Source organism: Homo sapiens, chromosome 8 (assembly GCF_000001405.40).
Source record: "Homo sapiens chromosome 8, GRCh38.p14 Primary Assembly".
NCBI classification, from domain to species: Eukaryota; Metazoa; Chordata; class Mammalia; order Primates; family Hominidae; genus Homo; species Homo sapiens.
The window spans coordinates 86,332,031-86,350,536 of record NC_000008.11 but is presented as its reverse complement, the minus strand read 5'-3'; the positions used below and the strand labels follow the sequence as shown (position 1 = coordinate 86,350,536).

Here is an 18,506-nt window from a genome sequence, read left to right as displayed (position 1 = left end):
AAACTCCTCCCCGCAACAGCCAATGTACTATTTTCAGAAATTTGCAAAGAGATTTGCATTAGGATGCAGGGGCCCGTTTTTTAGTGTACATGAAATGCTTCAAAAATGCTTCGCAGCTATGCACTAATAACCTAAATTCTTAAAATGAAATGCATTCACTACTCCACTCAGAAGCTATAATGTAATAAAAACTAAACACTCATTTTCTTCATTTCACCTTTAACCATGGCATTACTTAGCAGCCAACTTGAACTAAAAACAAACAAACAAAAAATACTGCTAAGACTAAAATAAAGCGATAGTGGATAAGGTTAAGTGATAATGCGAGAAAAACCCAGATAGCAATCAATGAATCTACCTGTTCTTGGAAAGGAGAAGCAGCACCTTATTCATTGTATTTCCATAAGAGAGGATTACCATTCCAGTCTCTAGAAGGAAAGAGAATTCTCTCCACTATAATGACACCTCTCCAAGGAAGAGTAGCTTATCCCAAGCTTTTTCAAGACACTGCAAACAGAAAATGCCATTGGGGCTTGGAGCGCGTGGGGGACAGGTTGCTCACTCTGGTCAAGGCCAGAGTGATAGTCAAGAAACCCTTCTCCCCTAGGTCTCAAATCCAATCACAAGGGCAGAGGGAATCGATCTCTGCCCATCTGTGGCCCATTTTCTGCATGGGATGCTGTCTGTTCCAATTCACGAGATCGGGTAAATCACTACTTCCAAGCAGCATGGACTCTTGGGTCCTGTACTTTGTTAGATCCCACTGCCCTCAAGCAGAAGGCAAGTCAATCCTACCCTATTATGGTGGCACACTAGGAAAAACCTCAGAGGCCACAAATGTTCTCCTCTTTTCTAACCAAGGAGAGTGCTAGGTATTCCCATTTGCGTAGTAAGCCAGATGTGCTGTCATTTGCACTTTTTAGACTCAGCTTTCCCTGTGGCATGCTCAGACTCAAAATCCAGATTTGCGGAAAGTAGTAAGCTGCCTAAGCTTCAGCTTCCAAAACAGTTTTCCGTAAGTCCTGTTTTGGTATAGTAAAGCTGATGTTATACTTAAATAAAATTTATGGTAATCTGTTACATGGGTGGCCCCAAATGGATTCACACATTTGTACCCTTGAACCTGGGCTAGATTTGTGACTTGCTTTAACCAGTATAATAAGGCAGAAATGATACTGTATCCCTTACAAGTCTAAACCTTAAGAAGATCTGGTTGCAGACCAGGCACGGTGGCTCACGCCTGTAATCCCAGCACTCTGGGAGGCCGAGGCGGACAGATCACCTGAGCTCAGGAGTTCCAGACTAGCCTGTCCAACATGGTGAAACCCCATCTCTACTAATACAAAAATTAGCTGGGCATGGTGGTGCACGCCTGTAATCCCAGCTACTCGGGAAGCTGAGGCAGGAGAATTGCTTGAACCTGGGAGGTGGAGGTTGCAGTGAGCCAAGACTGAGCCACTGCACTCCAGCCTGGGTGACAGAGTGAGACTCCCTCTCAAAAAAAAAGATCTGGTTGCTTCTGTTTTGTACTCTTGTGAGCCCTAAGCCATCAGCTACCAGGTAAGGCCAGCAACTCTGCTGGAAAGGCTACTTGGAGAGAAAAGCAGCCATTAGAGTGATCACCAGCAAAACCTGCCCAACTGAGCCCAACCCAGGAAAGCAAAACTGTAACAAAGAAAATGGTTGTTTTAAGTCACTTGGTTTAGGGCTGTTTGCTACACAGCAGTACATAACTGAAACAACACTCACCTGGTTCCTTGTGTGTTCTGCATAATTTGTTCAAACCCCAGAAAAAGGAGAGGTATAATTAATTACACTCCGCAAAATTACAACCTGAGAAGATAAAGTTCTATGCCCTTGTTAATGTTAGTGATTCCACTAAACTCCAGGTTCCAAGAGGAAAGGCTTCATATCTGTCATCTCAACACTGTACTCCCAGCACCTAGAAATATGTCTGGCACATAGTAGGTACGCCAGTATGTGCTGTGAGTGAACTGTAGATTTAAGAAATGTCAAGACGGCCAGGCGTGGTGGCTCATGCCTGTAATCCCAATACTTTGGGAGGCTGAGGCGGGCAGATCACCTGTGGTCTGGAGTTCAAGACCAGCCTGACCAACATGGAGAAACCCCGTCTCTACTAAAAATACAAAATTAGCCAGGTGTGGTGGTGCATGCCTGCAATCCCAACTACTTGGGAGGCTGAGGCAGGAGAATCTCTTGAACCCAGGAGGCGGAAGCTGCAGTGAGCCAAGATTGCGCCATTGCACTCCAGCCTGGGCAGCAAGAGGGAAACTCCGTCTCAAAAAAAAAAAGAAAAAAGAAATGTCAAGACTAAATCAACAAATGCTACTCTTCCTTATAACTTAAAAACCATGCTAGTCTTCCTTATAACTTAAAAACCATCTGACGTATGGTTTTACATTATACATTCCCTAAAAAAGTTGTTTAAATGTATGAATTGAAGCATCCACTAAGGAGGGCTTTTTAATATCTTTGGGTTTTTTTCAATGGTAGAGCTTATGATCTAATACAAAAATAATAAAATATCATGATACAGGTTGAGTATCCCTAATCCAAATATCCAAAATCTGAAATACTCCAGTGAATGTTTCTGTTGAGTAATGTAGGTGGCTCAAAGTTTCCCATTTTGGAGCATTTCAAACTTTGAATTAGGGATACCCAATCTATATATATTTTGGAAATTAGATCCTCATTTATATCCTCAAAAAATGTAAATTTTTGAAGACTAAGCTTTTATAAAAGGGAAACACAAACTTCATCTGTAAAAGCAACAGAATTAAATTCAAAATTTTCAAAAAAATAAATATCTACATTTCACCAATGTACTTTTCCAGATAAGAAATCAACTTTTGCTTTATCCTTGACAGGAGAATAACTATTCTGTGGTACAATGCTTACAAATTTAAATATCACCTACCAATAGCCACTGCAGTGAGATTACCATTTTAACACAAAGGAAAAAACTGACAAGTTTACCTCTACACGGTACAAAAGTTTAACACATTCCAAACAGGTAAATTCAAATCCTTCACATACAGCTCTTAACTAATGATGTTCCATTGTACATGAAGAGTAAGAAGTCTGGTGGGAAAAGAATACTGACATAGGAACAAAAATAAGGGTTTTAGTTGTAGTTCTAATTGTGGCCACTAACTAGCCACATACTTTGGAAATTTAACTTTTTAAACTTTTTTTTTAGCCTCAGCATATTCATCCAAAAAGCAATGATTGGCTGGAAGCGATGGCTCACGCCTGTAATTCCAGCACTTTGGAAGGCCATGGTGGGAGGGCCACGAGTCCAGGAGTTCGAGGCCAGCCTGAGGAAACACAGCAAGACCCCATCTCTATAAAAAATTTTAAAAATTTAGCTGGGTGTCATGACATACACCTGTAGTCCCAAGTACTTGGGAGGCTGAGGTCTAGGCTTCAGTTTAGCCATGACTGTGCCACTGAACTCCAGCCTGGGCAACAGAGCAAGACCCTGTCTCAAAAATAAATAAATAAAATAAAATAAAATAAAATATAAAGCAGTTATTACTTCCTAACACACCAACTTATCAGTTGTCATGAGAACCAAATGATAAATATAGTTATTATTTACAAATGTGAAATGCTATACTAACATAAGGTATAGTACAATTCTTAATGCCAGCAAAAACAATAAAATTCATCTGTGTATGTTTTTATCATTTTTCCTCCATTAAGTATTAGTAACTAGTTCCTTGGATACCACTATAAAGGGCAATTTATTGGATTTTCCAATGCTCATTATAATTGTATCATATTTTTATACAAAGAGTAAAAAACAACAGTCTTTCTAATAATTATGAAATCAAAGTTTATTAACATGTAATAACATGCTATGATTACCTATTACCAGGGAGATAATCTTACAGGTGCAGAAAAGTCAACTGTTTACCAATCGCACTACACTTTAACCGTACTAGCTAGCTACTTAATCCACCCAAAAAAAATTGAGTAGGAATCTTCATTTACATTGTGAAGTCTCCATTTTTATTTGATAAAGGCTTCCTGAAAGAAAAGAATATTCTGAAGGTATAAATGAACAGAGAAGATAAAGTTCTTTTTTTTTGAGACAGAGTCTCGCTCTGTTGCCCAGGCTGGAGTGTAGTGGCGCAATCTCGGCTCACTACAAGCTCCGCCTCCCGGGTTCACACCATCCTCCTGCCTCAGCCTCCCAATAAAGTTCTTAAAGTTTCTTATTTCACTTACATCACCTCTCTCCTCCCTACTCCCCAGCCCAAAGTGAGACATACAAAGAAAGTAACAATCCAAATGAATGATCTGATATTGCTAACTGCTCTTCTCTACCCAATTCATCCCTCAGACTCACCAGCTCTCATGCACATATTAAACAAGGAGAGTAGATACTCTGATGAAAGTCTAGGACTCGAGAATCACAAAATGTTAAAAACTAGAAGGAATCTTGTGGGATCATCTAGTCTTACTGACAAGGTCATTTAAAGGCAGTAACTATATTTAATTGATGGTAAAGCCACTGCATTATCTTCATACATGAAAGAACACCATCATTGTCAACAATCTCCTGATTCCACTTTACCCACCAGCTGAATGATGCTTCAGGCAAATCATTTAAACTCCAGGAATAGTTTATTGTGTAATATAATAGCAAATAACATTAGTCAAAATTCTCTGTAAACTGTAAACCACAACACAAATGTAATATTGTGTTTCTGTATATATACAGCATATCTCTACAGTAAGAGTTCTTATCAGTACACAGAAGAACCTGAAGGTTCTACTGTTTTAAAAAGCTCCCAGTAGGCCCGGCAGGGTGGCTTACGCTGTAATCCCAGCACTTAGGAAGGCCAAGGCAAGCTGATCACTTGAGCTCAGGAGTTCAACACGAGCCTGGGCAAAATAGTGAGACCCCATCTCTAAAAAAAAAATACAAAAATTAGCCGGGTGTGGTGGCAAGCGCCTGTAGTTCAAGCTATTCGGGAGACTGAGGCAGGAGAATCTCTTGAGCCTGGGAGGCGGAGGTTGCAATGAGCCCAGAAGGCGCCACTGCACTCCAGCCACAGGGACAGGAGTGAAAGAAATCCTGCCTCGAAAATAAAAAAAGCTCCAAGAAATTCTGAGATGAGTGTCATGGATGACTTTCAGGTGTTCCATGGACTCCCCTAAAATTATATCCACAAAGCATAGGCGCATATGGAAATTTTCCAGGCCAGCATTTTACCAAGAATTAGTAATCTCCAAAAAGTTGTAAAGTAGCACACATATGCTGAGGGTAAAGCTTCATGATCTTGCTCAAAATGGTACCACTGTTCTCCCAACCAACCTGGATCAGAATCAGTTATTTTTACTTTCATTTGCCCTCTCATCAAATTTTGGCTATTCGACTTCCTTTCTTCCTTTCCATTCGCGTGCACCACAGCTCAGATCCTCACTATCCATGACTACAACAACTGGGAGGTCTTTCTACCTCCAGGGTCTCCCTACCTCAGTTCACACTACAGACCTCTATCCCACTAATCCTTCTGAAACAAAGTGTTCAAATTGTTTCACTCCCAATTCAAAATCATCTGTGGAAGCCCCACCACCGGGTAAATCCAAGGTCATAAGTCTGGCATTAAAAACAACCCATAAACTGGTCCAAATTTTTACTTCAAGTTTTATCACCCTTTATCCTGGTACAAATAAGTTTATGTTCCACCCAAACATAATTACCTGCCTTTCCCCAAACAGGAACTCTGTGCTCTCTTAGAGATACCTCTCTGCTAGGATTACCTTTCCTGCCTATCCAAAGTCATAATCGTCCTTCAAAACCACGATTTCAGAAGCCAGGAGCTCTACAAACTAACCCTCTTATCCCTACCTTGCCAAGTAAGATCTGAGCTCTACTCTCTTTGAAGTTGACTTCTGAGAGGATTTTGGTACCATTTATGAAACTTATATATTAAAAGACAAATAAGGCATTTGTGTATAGCACTATCTACCTAATTAGTGTGAAGGCAGAAATTGCTAATCGGTTCATCTTTGTATTTCCCAAAATACCTCCCACAATTATGCAGTAAATGCTTAACAACTGTACAAGGAAGTAAAGGAAATTTCAGCCACCGTGGGGTAAACAGCAAAGATTACCATCTCTTTGAAGGCAGAAACTTTATCTGCGACATCCTGTATTATGCCGGTAGCTCATAATTATTGCTTTTCAAAACCCTGATGTAGATCTTACCAGCAGTTTCACATTTTAAGGTAAGAACTATCTGAAAATGTTGATAAGCTATGTCCCAAAGAACTATTCCACATACTTTACAATTCTCAATCTGAGTAGCTCCCAATACTTGGCCACTACACTTTCCATTTTTTAAAATACTAACCATTTATGAAAAATGATCATTTCTAGTTGCAGCTAATTTACTACTTGATGGCTAAAAACAAGTCACACAATAAAAGAACGACTTTCTTCTTTAAAAGGTGCATTTTGCTTGTATAATACACACAGATTTGGTGAGGCAGGTAAAGTGGATTTACACATAAACATGAACTCTTGTTAAAAAAAAAAAATGCAGGTAACTGTAAACCAACTATTTCAGGTAAAAACACCAAACGGGGAAAACAAAGATAATTTTGGACATGATTTTTTTTCCCACTACTATTACCAGTAACATTTTAAAGCAGAAACACAAAATCTTGTTCCACATTAACCTACACACACACAGAAAAAAATTTGTTAAACTTATCAAATAGAAAAAGAAGGCAAAATCAAGCCCCTGGAAAATATTTTATTCTGAAAGAGTAAAAATGTCAAAATTATAACAGACACTACTCTTCTTTGGTAATGAAGGTTTCATATATTTACCACAGCAGAGAAAACTCCAAATCGGCAGAGCAAAGAAAGGACTGTGAACAAGACTGATCATTTAAAGGTCGTAAAGGTAAGGAGCAAACTACAAAATTAAATTTTTTTAAAAAAAGAACACGAAGATGAAAGGAGAGTCTGTAAGTCACAGACAAGATAAGGACTGGTAAAATCTGCAAGGTCACTGGAACCTACCAGGTCACAAAAGGTGGAGGTGGGGGTTGCGCTGGGGGGGCGGGGGATGGGGAGCTGCAGAGTCGGTGAAGAACGGAGAGTGATAAAAACATGTCAGAAAAAGACGTTCCAAAGCTGGAGTCCTTGGTTTGCAACGCTGAAATTGGGGTGAAAGTCAGGGAACGGGCAATGAGTCCATGTATTTGTGTTTTCAGGGAGGTGTTAGGGAAAGGTGGAGGAAGGCGAAGAGAAGGCTAAGGAAGCCTAAGAACTGCGGCTGCAGAGTCACGGAAACACTTCGCTCCGCTCCAGGATCACTGGCACAGGCCTTTGCCAGGGCGAACTCCGGGCAAGACCCGTGACCCCACCCCAGAAAACTCCCGACTCCCGGGCTGGAGAAGGTAGCCAAGGTAGGGCGGACCGTCCCCCGACGGGTCCTAGGAGGGTCCAGCCCGGGGGCGGACGGCGCCGGGCGCCCAGCACCGCGGCCAAGGCTCAGGGCCCGTGCCCCCTCCCGCCCTGCCCATTCGCACCCCCAGCCCCGCGCCGCGCCGTCCTTACCCGGCGCGAAGCTGTCGGCTCCCGGCAGCCGGGCGGCCACGGCAGCGGCACCTCCTCCTGCGGCGGGCGCCCTCACCCTTCCGCGCCCAAGATCGCCATCTCGCAGCAGGCGCGGCGGCAGCAGCCACCCAGGCGTCGGCCCCGGCAGCCCAGGCCGCCAGCAGCCACTCGGAACCCGCACGCGGAGCTCGCCGACACCCGACCCTCCCCCCACCCCCACCCCGTCCACGCGCCACCCCCAGCCGACCCCACACCTCCCTTCCTCGGGAGCGCGCCGCGTGGCCGCGTCGCCGGCGCCGCGCCCTAAGCGCGCGCCTCCCCGCCGGCCCCGGCACCGCGCGCTACGCCGCGGCCGCCCAAAGCCTCCAACTCCGGACCCGGAATCCGCCTCCCCCGAGCATGCGCAGCGAGGGCGCTCGGATGCTGCCTTAGGAAAACTCCGCTCCTCCGGGTCTTCCGAGCAGTCTAGCGGAGGGGGACGGACAGCCAATAGTAGGGAGGGGCGGGGCCTGAACGTGTGGAAGGGGCGGGGCCGCCGCTGAGATTTGGGAAGAGGCTGCTCTAAGCTCGCGCTGGGCACTGCTAATTTGACTTTCCGGTCGGCGGCTGATCCCGGAGCAGGACTTCTTAAGGTCCGGGGGCAAAAGTAGGCTGTCCATAAATACTCCTTGACCTAGCTGGGTGACCTCGAACACATTGCAAGAGTAAATAATTGCATTTAGCCATTGGTCATACCCGAAGACTTTCAGTCCATTTTTTATTAATCAAAACGTTCATCTGTGGAAGCCCCACCACCTAGTCCTCACTCACATCAGCCCGGTGATAAAGCAGATACTTATTGACCGAGTATACGTGTCCGCACAATTAACGCACACAACAATCTGACAAAGTAGTGTCTACTGTCTGCATTTTACAGAAAAGTCAACTAGTTTAGAAAAGTACTGTTGGTTATGTGTATTGCTTTTAGAAGAAAGGCCAATGTGCAAATAGAAGTCAGTGGGACCACATTGCTTACCAGGTGACCCGGTTTCTACTTCAGAGAAGCAGAAGCCTTCAGGCATGGATTTCTACAGCTTTTGCCCAACCACCTGACCAACCCCCATAGATTATATCTACGTCCACACCCAGACTTACTAGTTTTCCTTCTATCTCGGAGGCTAGATGTCCCTGCTCCTCTCCACTGCCTGCTCCCCACTGTGGGCGGTCCTTGGCACATCTTTAACTTCACCCTCTCCACTGCCTACAACTCCTCAGCATAATCACGTTTTAAGATTAGGTCCTAAATTTTCCCTTGATTTTAAAACCTCTGGTTCTCTCTCCCCTTCCATTTTAACTGAGCTTTTTGAAAGAACTGTGTACCAAAAACAACCCCAACACTTCATGAGTGTGTACAGAATTCAACAAGTATCTCTTGACTGAACAATGCACATTCCCGCCTACCTCCATGCATTAGTTCTTGTCCTCTGGCTTCATAGTTGAAATTGGTGCACATTATATCCACAAAGATCATTCGAAAATATACATCTGTGTCATTCCACTGCTTAAAATCATTCTTTGGCTTTTCGGAGCTCTCCTGACAAAGATTAACGTGATATTCAAGGTTCCTTTGATGCTCACATGCTCTATCTCTCCTGTTATGAAAAACTCTTCACAGTGCCCCATATGTGCCCACTCATCTCTGCTTTAAACATGTACTAAGATTTTCTTCATCTTTTTGCTTTTGCTGTCTGGTCCCTTTAAATAGATGCAATAATGTGCTTACAAACACGTCCTCAGAAATTCCGTAGGTATTCCCCAGCAGGGATCTGGACTCCTTCTCCAGAATGCATGCAGGCCTCCTCTTCCTGCTCTGTGTCTCACTTTCAGCTCCCCTCATTGCTCAATTTCCTCCCCGTTCAGAAGCTCTTAGTACTCACCTAGTCCTCAAGCTGACACCCAATATTGAACCAGCCTTTTGTTATTGACTGTTTGGTTTCAAATGAACAATATTATAAATAGTATTCCATAACCATTGTTCATGTCCTTATTAACTGTCTTAGATAAATTATTAAAAGTAATAAAAAAGTATGAACAAGTTTAGCCCTTTTGAAACATATTGGCAACTACCTTCCAGAAAGAGCATAGGCTCAGGTATCACATCGCCCAGCATCAAAACACAGCTCTGCCACCCAGTGCCACATTCTGACTTTCACAGGCCCTAGGTGCTTATACCTGTGTGGGCCTCATCTTCCATAAAATAATACTACAAAATATATTTTATTACTGCATTGGTATGAAGAAAAAGATATTAACATTATACATTAAAATATTTTCTTTGACCTAAATATTCAATTTTTTGCCTTCTGATTTTAAAAGAAATTAAAACATTTTTATGGGCCCCCGAAAGTGTTATAAGCCTGAGGCACTGTGTCTACTGTGCCTAATGGATAACCTGACCCTCCTGCTGCCTATGAGCTGAGAGATTTGGCCAATTGCTTAATCTAATTGTGTCTCAACTAGAAAATTAATATAGTGCTTCCACATGTTGTATTAAAAAATATATATAAATTGCTATAAATAACACGCATAGAGCTACTTAACACATGAGCATGGCACATAATCAAGAAATGATTGTCATAATGGTTATCAATTTTCCCACAACACTACATGACAGTATGTGATTGTCCTTCTTCCATGTGCCCAAATCATCATGGTATGTTTTCATATGTGTATGTATGGTAGCTTATTGTTTGTCCTTTGTCCATTTTCTTACTGAGGTATTTCACAAAAGGGTGCTTCACACAATGTAGATATTAGTCCTTTGTAAAACTATTGATCTTTTCCATTTTTGTATTCTTCCATTGTTTTTTACTTCATACATCTTTCCCATCCTGAGATCATATAATTCATCTGTCTTTACTTTTTTCTACTTGTTTGACTATTTTACTTTTTTCATTAAATAATTTAATTTTCTTGGATTTATTTTGCAATGATAATCTAACTTTTATTCCTTTAAAAATAGCTCATGGTATTCCCCCAAACCATTTGTTTAAAAAATTGTTCTCTAACTGTAGTGGTTTTAAAATAGGTCTACAGGCCGGGCACTGTGGCTCACACCTGTAATCCCAACACTTTGAGAGCCCAAAGCAGGTGGATCACTTAAGGCCAGGTGTTTGATACCGGCCTGACCAACATGACAAACCCTGTGATATGGTTTGGCTGTGTCCCCACGCAAATCTCATCTTTTTTTTTTTTTTTTTGAGATGGAGTATTGCTCTGTCATCCAGGCTGGAGTGCAGTGGTGTGATCTTGGCTCACTGCAACCTCCACTCCTGGGTTCAAGTGATTCTCTTGCCTCAGCCTCCCGAGTAGTTGGGATTACAGGCACATGCTACCACACCTAGCTAATTTTTTTTTTAATTTTTAGTAGAGACGGGGTTTCACCATGTTGGCCAGGCTGATCTTGAACTCCTGATCTCAAGTGACCCTCCTGCCTCGACCTCCCAAAGTGCTGTGATTACAGGCATGAGCCACCATCCCTAACCCTAATCTCGTCTTGAATTGTAGTTCCCATAATATCCACGTGTTGTGGGAGGGACCCAGTGTCAGGTAATTTAATCATGGGGGCGGTTACTCTCATGCTGTTCTGGTGATAGTGAGTGAGTTCTCACAAGATCTGATGGTTTTATAAGGGGCTTTTCCCCCTTTTGCTCAGCACTTCTCCTTGCTGCCACCATGTGAAGAAGGTTGTGCTTGCCTCCCCTTCTGCCATGATTGTAAGTTTCCTGAGGCCTCCCCAGCCATGCTGAACTATGAGTCAATTAAACCTCTTTCCTTTATAAATTACCCAGTCTCAAGTATGTCTCTATTAGCAGCATGAGAACAGACTAATACACCCTGTCTGTATTATATTTCCAAGAATAATTTTTTTAAATTTCTTAATAAAATATGTCTACAAATATTTTGATACTTCTGCCCTCAGAAAGTGAAGCCTAGCCAGGCACAGTGGTTCATGCCTGTAATCCCAGGACTTTGGGAGGCCAATGTGAGAAGATTGCTTGAGCCCAGGGGTTCGAGACCAGCATGGACAACGTAGTGAGACCTCATCTCTACTAAAAATCAAAAACTTATCTGGGCATGGTGGTGTGCACCTGTAATCCCAGCTACTCTGGAGGCTGAGGTGGGAGGGTCACTTGAGCCCAGGAAGTCAAGGCTGCAGTGAGTCATGAGTGCATCATGATTGCACTCCAGCCTGGGTAACAGAGTGAGAGCAAGACTCTGTCTCAAAAATAATAAAAACAAAAAACCAGGAGGCAGAGGTTGCAGTGAGCCAAGATGGCACCACTTCACTCCATCCTAGGCAACAGAGCAAGACTCCCTCTCAAAAAAAAATAAATAAATAAAATTAAAAAAAAATAAACCAGTGAGGCCTAATTCTCTTCCAAAAGGAATGTAGGCTGTAATTAGTGACTTGTTGTTAACAGATATAGCAAAAGTGACAGTGTGTCACTTCCAAGACCAGGCCATAAAAAGGCATCATGGAGCCCCTCCCACTCTCTTTCAGATCATTCTCAGTTGCCATATGGCAAAGACACAGGAAGCTGCCCTGTGTAGAGACCCACATGGCAAGGAACTGAGACATCCTGCCAACAACCACCAGAGTCTGAGGCCTGCTGCCATCACCACGTGAGTGAGACATCTTAGAAGTGGATCCTTCAGCCTAAGTCAAGCCTTCAGATGATTGCGTCTTGACTGCAGCCTCATCAAAGACCTTGAACCAGAACCACCCAACTCAGTTACTCTCAAATGCTTAACCCATAGAAACTATAGCGGTAAAATAAGTGCTTATTGTTTTAAGTCACTAAATTTGGGAGATAATTTATATCTATCCAGAAATAGATAACAAATACACTAATCCTGTTGTTCTCAACTTGGGACCATTTCATATCCCAGGGGATTTTGGCAATGGCTTACGACATTTTTCATGGGGGTAGGTTGGATGTTCCATTGGCATCTAGTGGGTAGATGTGACAGAGGGTGCTAAACATCCTACAGTGCACAAGACAGCCCCATCACTCCACTCAAAAAACAAGGAATGATCAGGTCCAAATGGCATTAATGCTGAAGCTGAGAAACTGCCCCAACCTATTTTCCCTTGCACTTTAAAAGTTTCCTATTTCACCTGTACTTGTGAAAGAGGTGGGGTTTGCTTCACTTCCATTACTCATTTGAATGCTGCTTCACTTGTTTCTTTTTTTTTTTTCTCTTTTTCTACTTTTATTTTAGGTTCAGGGAATACCTGTGCAGGTTTGTTGCATGTGTAAATTGCGTGTCACTGAGGCTTGGTGTACAAATGATCCTATCACCCAAGTGCTTGTTACTTAGCCCTCTTTAGTATTCTCCTCATTCTCATGCTCCCCTTCTGGTCAAAGCCCAAAACTCAGATAGCATAGAGAGCAGTGCCCCTTAGGACAATCTGCACTTCCTTAAGAATTCCTTTGAAGGAGTGAAATACCAACATGAGGCAGTCCTCTCCTCTTCTGATGTTCCCCTCTCCTGTTTACCTTCCTATAAGTACCGAACAAAGTAAGTAGGTATATCAGTCTTAAGGGCTTCCCATGCCATAAGATATAACTTAAAGCAGTTATATCTTATGAAGGAAATTATTTCTTGTGATGGTCTTTTTTAAAAACTATTTTTAGTAAAGACAGGGTTTCACCAAGTTGACCAGGCTGCTCTTGAACTCCTGACCTCAGGTGATCTGCCCACCTTGGCCTCCCAAAGTGCTGGGATTACAGGAGTGAGCCACCGCACCTGGCCTTTACTGATACTCTTTGTTTTTATTTTTAAAATATTTTTATAGACACAGGGTCTCACTATTTTGCCCAGGCTGGTCTTGAACTTCAGGCCTTCCTGCCTTGGCCTCCCAAAACACTGGCATTTACAGGTATGAGCCACCATGCCTAGACTTTTTATTTTTATTTTTGCAATACTCTTTTTTAATTGACCTGAATGAGGTATTGTTTATATACACTAAACTAACCTCATTTTAATGGTACAGTTCAATAAATTTTAACAAATGAATACACCAGTGTAACTATTACCACAATCATGATACAGAACATTTCCAACACGGCAAAAAGTATTCTCAAGCCCTTCCTCCCCCCAACTACTTCTGGTCCTAGGTAACTACTTGTTTGCATTCTGTCACTGTAGAATAATTCTACTTTTTACATAATTTCATTTTTTATTTTTGAGACAGGGTCTCACTCTGTCACCCAGACTGGAGTGCCATGGCATTGACACAGCTCACAGCAGCTTCAATCTCCTGGGCTCAAGGGATTCTCCCGCTTCAGCCCCTTGAGAAACTGGGACTACAGGCATGTACCACAGGGCCCAGCTAATTCTTTAACTTTTTGTTGAGATGGGGTCTTGCCGTGTTGCCCAGGTTTGTCTCAAATTCCTGGCCTCAGGCAATCCTTCTGCCTCAGCCTCCCAAAGTGCTGGGAGTACAGGTGGGAGCCACTGCATCTCGGCCCACTTTTTCAAGAATTTGATATAAGTGGTATCATCCAGTATATACTCTGTTGTATGTGGTTTCAGCTCAGCATGTTTCAGAGATGCATTTGTAATATTCTGTGCAGTAGTTATTTCTTCTTTTCTAGTGGAGTAGTGATCCCTTGTATGGATTTGCTACAATTTGTTTATTTTTGTCCTATTCATAGATAATTGGTTTGTTTCCAGTTTTTGGCTACTATGACTAAAGATTCTATGAACATTTGGTTAAAAGTATTTTTCTTGGATAAATAATGCCTAAGAGTAAAACAGCTAGGTCATATTGTCATATATCTAACTTTATGATAAATTGCCAAACTGTTTTCCAAAGTGGTTGTACCATTTCCATTTCCACCAGTAATATATGAGAGTTCCAGTTGCTTCATTTCTTCTCCAATGTTTGGTAATCCTTCTAATTTTCAATTATTGTATTTAAATTTGCATTTTCCTAATAACTAATCATGTTGAGTATCTTTTCCTGTCCTTAAGGGGCATGTGTGTATTTGAACAGAAGTATCTGTTCAAACCTTTTGTCTACTTCAAATTGGTTTTTTCCTCTTATTACTGGGGTGTGTATATTCTGTCTTTTATACTATCCTTTGTCAGATATTGGTGTTGTGAATATTTTCTCCCAGATTATGGCTTGCTATGGCAGTCAGCCCCCAAGATGGACCCCATTGATTCTGGACTCCTGGTATGTATACACTCTTATACAGTACTTTCCCCTATTGACTGACCTATGTGACCAAGAGAAAATTGTAGAAGTGATAGTACCTGTCTTCTGAGACAACATCATAAAAGATATTGCAGCTCCCACCTTGCTGCCTTGGGGTACTCTTGCTCTAGAGAAAGACAGTGCTTTAGCAAGGATTTTGTCTTGCTGTCTTGCCTCAGACAGGAACTGAGGCCTGTTGATAAATGGACAGCAGCAATTTGCTAGCCATATGTGGCACCTTGGAAATGGATCTTCCAATCCCTCTCAAGTCTTCAGATGACTGCAATCTCACGTAACACTCTATGCCAGAAGTAGCCAGCCAAGAAATACATATATTCCAGAACTGCAAAAACTGTGAGAAATAATAAATCTGTATTATTGTTTTCGGTCACTAGGTTTTGGAGAAATTTTTATACAACAAATATACTTGCATTTTCATTTTCTTAACAATGTGTTTTGAAAAGTCAATGTTTTTATTTTGATGAAGTTCACATCATTTTGTGACATATTTAAGAAATTTTACTTTAAGACAGTGAAGATTTGTTAATACTTTTTTTCTTAAAGTTTATAGCTTTAGCTTTTACATTTGGGTCTATAATCTATTTCAAAATAATTTTTGCATATGCTGAGATGAAAGAGTCAATGTTCATTTTTTTTTTCTAAATAGATATATGGTTGTTTCAATACCATTTGTTGAAAAGACAATCCTTTCCCCATTGAATTACTTTGGAACTTTTGTGAAAACTCTGTCTATTTCTGGGCTCTCTATTCCTTCCATTGAACCATATGTCTATCCTTACACAAATATCACACTGTCTTGATTACTATAACTTTAGAAAGTCTTAAAATTGGGAAGTGTAAATTTTCCAAATTTGTTCTTTTTCAAAATGATTTTGACTCTTCCAGGTTCTTTGCATATGTTATGCTTTTTGATGCTGCAAGAGATCTTCAACAAGTTCATAGAAATATGCATATTTTGAAAAAACTATGCATGGATTTTAAAATTTTTCGCCCCCAGATGAACTCATACTAACTTGCTATAACATGTATGAGCAGGATGTATTTTGAGTCACTAAGAAGGATAAGACATCAGTTTGAAAAAAAGCCCCTATCAGAGTAGCATGAATTCTGCTAGAGTTGAAGCAAGAACAAACATCAAATTTATGGGGAAGCTTGGGTAGAACAATGGTAAAATCACTGATGCTTTATGAAAAATTTATTGGGACAATGCACCAAAGCAATCAGCAGTTTACAAATGGGTAATTCATTTTAAGAAGGGAGGAGATTATGTAAAAGATGAAGCCTGCAATGACAGACCTTCACATCAGTTTGCAAGGAAAAAACTCACCTTGTTCATAACCTCATTCAAGAGGCCTAACAATTAGTAGGAGAAACAATAGCCAACACCATAGAAAACTCAAATCTCATAGCTTACACAATCTGACTGAAAAACTAAAGTGGAGCAAACTTTTCACTCAACAGGTGCCAAAACCATTGTACCCAGATCAACTGCAAACAAGAACAGAGTTTTAATGGAAATTTTAAACAAGTAAGATGAAAATCCTGAAGCATTTCTTTCAAGAATTGTAACAGGAGATGAAACATGGCTTTACCAGTATAATCCCGAAGACAAAGTACAATCAGAGCAATGGCTACCAAGAGGTGGAAGTGGTCCAGTCAAAGCAAAAGCAGACCTGCCAAGAGCAAAGGTCGTGGGAATAGTTTTTTGGGATACTTATTTTGCTTGTTGACTTTCTGAAGAGCCAAAGAACAATAATATCTGCTTGTTTCAAGAGTGTTTTGAGAAAGTTTGCTAAAGCTTTAGCAGAAAAATTCCTGGAAAAGCTTCACCAGTCTTTTTCTACCGCAACAATGCTCCCACTCATTCTTCTCATCAAACAAGGGCAATTTTACAAGACTTTCAATGAGAAATCATTAGGCATCGACCTTACAGTCCTAATTTGGCTCTTTCTAACTTCTTTTTGTTTCCTAATCTTAAAAAATCTGCAAAGGGCTCCCATTTTTCGTCATTTAATCATGTAAAAAAGACATGGTTAAATTTCCATGAATCTCAATTTTTTTAGGGATGGATTAAATGACTGGTGTCATCACTTACAACCATGGTTGACCTCGATGGAGCTTATGTTGAGAAATAAAGTTTATATTCTTTATCTTTTAATTCAATTTTTCCATGAACATTTTGAAGTGCCTCATATTATAAATGATATTTCATTGTTAGTGGTTCATTAATAGGGTATTTAAATACAATTCTTTTTTAATATTAGTCCTGTACACTGAGATCATGTTTAAAAACCTATTAGTTCTAGTAGTATTTTATAGATTTCTTTTGATTTTCTATGTATACAATCATGTTTCTCCAAATAAAGAGTTTTATTTTTTTCCTTCCATTCTGTATGCTTTTATTTCCTTTTCTTGCCCTATTGCATGGACTAGAACATCCAGTACAATGTTGAGCAGAAGTGATGAGAAATACATCCTTACCTTGTTCCTGATTTTCAGACAAAGCATTCAGTGTTTTACCATCAAGTATACTATCTTTAGGCTTTTTGTATACGTAATTTATGAGGTTGAGGAAGTTCTCTTCTTTTCTTAGTTTGCTGAGAGCTTTTTTATATTTTTGAGATAGGGTCTCAGTCACCTAGCCTGGAGTGCTGTCACGATCATGGCTCACTGAGCCTCAGCCTCCTGGGCTCATGTGATCCTTCCACCTCAGCCTTCTGAGTACCTGGGACTACAGATGCATACCACCACATTCGGCTCATTTTTTTGTAGAGACAGGGTTTCACTATGTTGCCCTGGCTGGTCTCGAACTCCTGGACTCAAATGATCCTCTCACCACAGCCTCCCAAAGTGCTGGGATCACAGACATGAGCCACTGTGCTTGGCCTGTCAAGAGCTTTTTAATCATGAATAAATGTTACATTTGTATCAGTGCTTGGCAGTGGCGGGGCGGGGGGCGGCGTCTATTGAGATGATTTTTGTTTTTGTGTGTAGACTATTAATATGATTAATTAAGTTTTTTGATTTTCAAATGTCAAACTAACTTACATTTCTGGGATAAACCACACTTGGTCATGATGCATTCTCCCTTTTATATATTGCTGGGTTTTTATTTGCTGATGTTTTAAAGGATGTTAATGAATCCAAATTCATTAGGGATATTGATCTGTAGTTTTCTTGTAATATCTTTGTCTATATTATCACGGTGAGACTGACCTGATAAAATGAGCTTGGAAGTGTATGCTCCTTATCTATTACCTACACTAGAGTTTTCTTTTTGAGAAAGTTTAAAGTGTGAATTTAATTTCTTTTATAAATTAAAGACAGTTCACATTTTCTATTTTTTTATGCCAGTTTGGGTAATTTTGTCTTTTAAGATATTTGTCCATTTCATTTAAGTTTTCAGGTTTATTGACCCAGAGTTGTTAATCATATTTCTTTGTTATTCTTTAATATTTATAGGATTGTAGTGATGTCCCATCTTTTATTCCTAATATTTGTAATTTGTATACTCTCTGCCTTTTACATGATCAGTTTGGTTAAAGGTATTTCAATTCGATCTTTTCAAAGAAGAGCTTTGATTTCATTAATGTTATTGTTTGATTATTTTCTCTTTCATTTATTTCAGCT

General features: G+C 40.7%; 1 protein-coding gene and 1 long non-coding RNA gene across 18 annotated transcripts in view, besides 1 other annotated feature; one reads left to right on the top strand and one right to left on the bottom strand.

The window, feature by feature from the left end:
* WWP1 (WW domain containing E3 ubiquitin protein ligase 1) overlaps positions 1-7,990 on the bottom strand; it is a 125,957-nt gene extending 117,967 nt beyond the window's left edge. For all 9 annotated transcript variants that reach the window (NM_007013.4, XM_024447056.2, XM_005250761.5 and 6 more), the window contains exon 1: positions 7,607-7,990. The gene's annotated coding sequence lies outside the window, so the exon portion shown is untranslated. The remainder of the gene's footprint in view (positions 1-7,606) is intronic.
* On the top strand, positions 6,103-17,263 carry WWP1-AS1 (WWP1 antisense RNA 1). 9 transcript variants are annotated; one of them, XR_007060994.1, is made up of 6 exons: positions 6,103-6,264; positions 6,877-6,947; positions 7,261-7,455; positions 12,150-12,271; positions 14,776-14,834; positions 16,338-17,263. It is a non-coding gene; the product is annotated as a WWP1 antisense RNA 1 (long non-coding RNA). The 9 variants fall into 9 exon arrangements; XR_007060990.1 differs by having other exon boundaries at positions 15,762-17,263; XR_007060993.1 differs by having other exon boundaries at positions 14,747-14,834.
* Positions 7,440-7,899: a silencer, noted in NCBI's record as "silent region_19341". NCBI's record gives its function as "represses an Ori minimal core promoter by ATAC-STARR-seq in GM12878 lymphoblastoid cells {active_cell/tissue: GM12878}" and the evidence as "EXISTENCE:reporter gene assay evidence [ECO:0000049][PMID:35858748]".
* Positions 17,264-18,506: the final 1,243 nt, after the last annotated feature.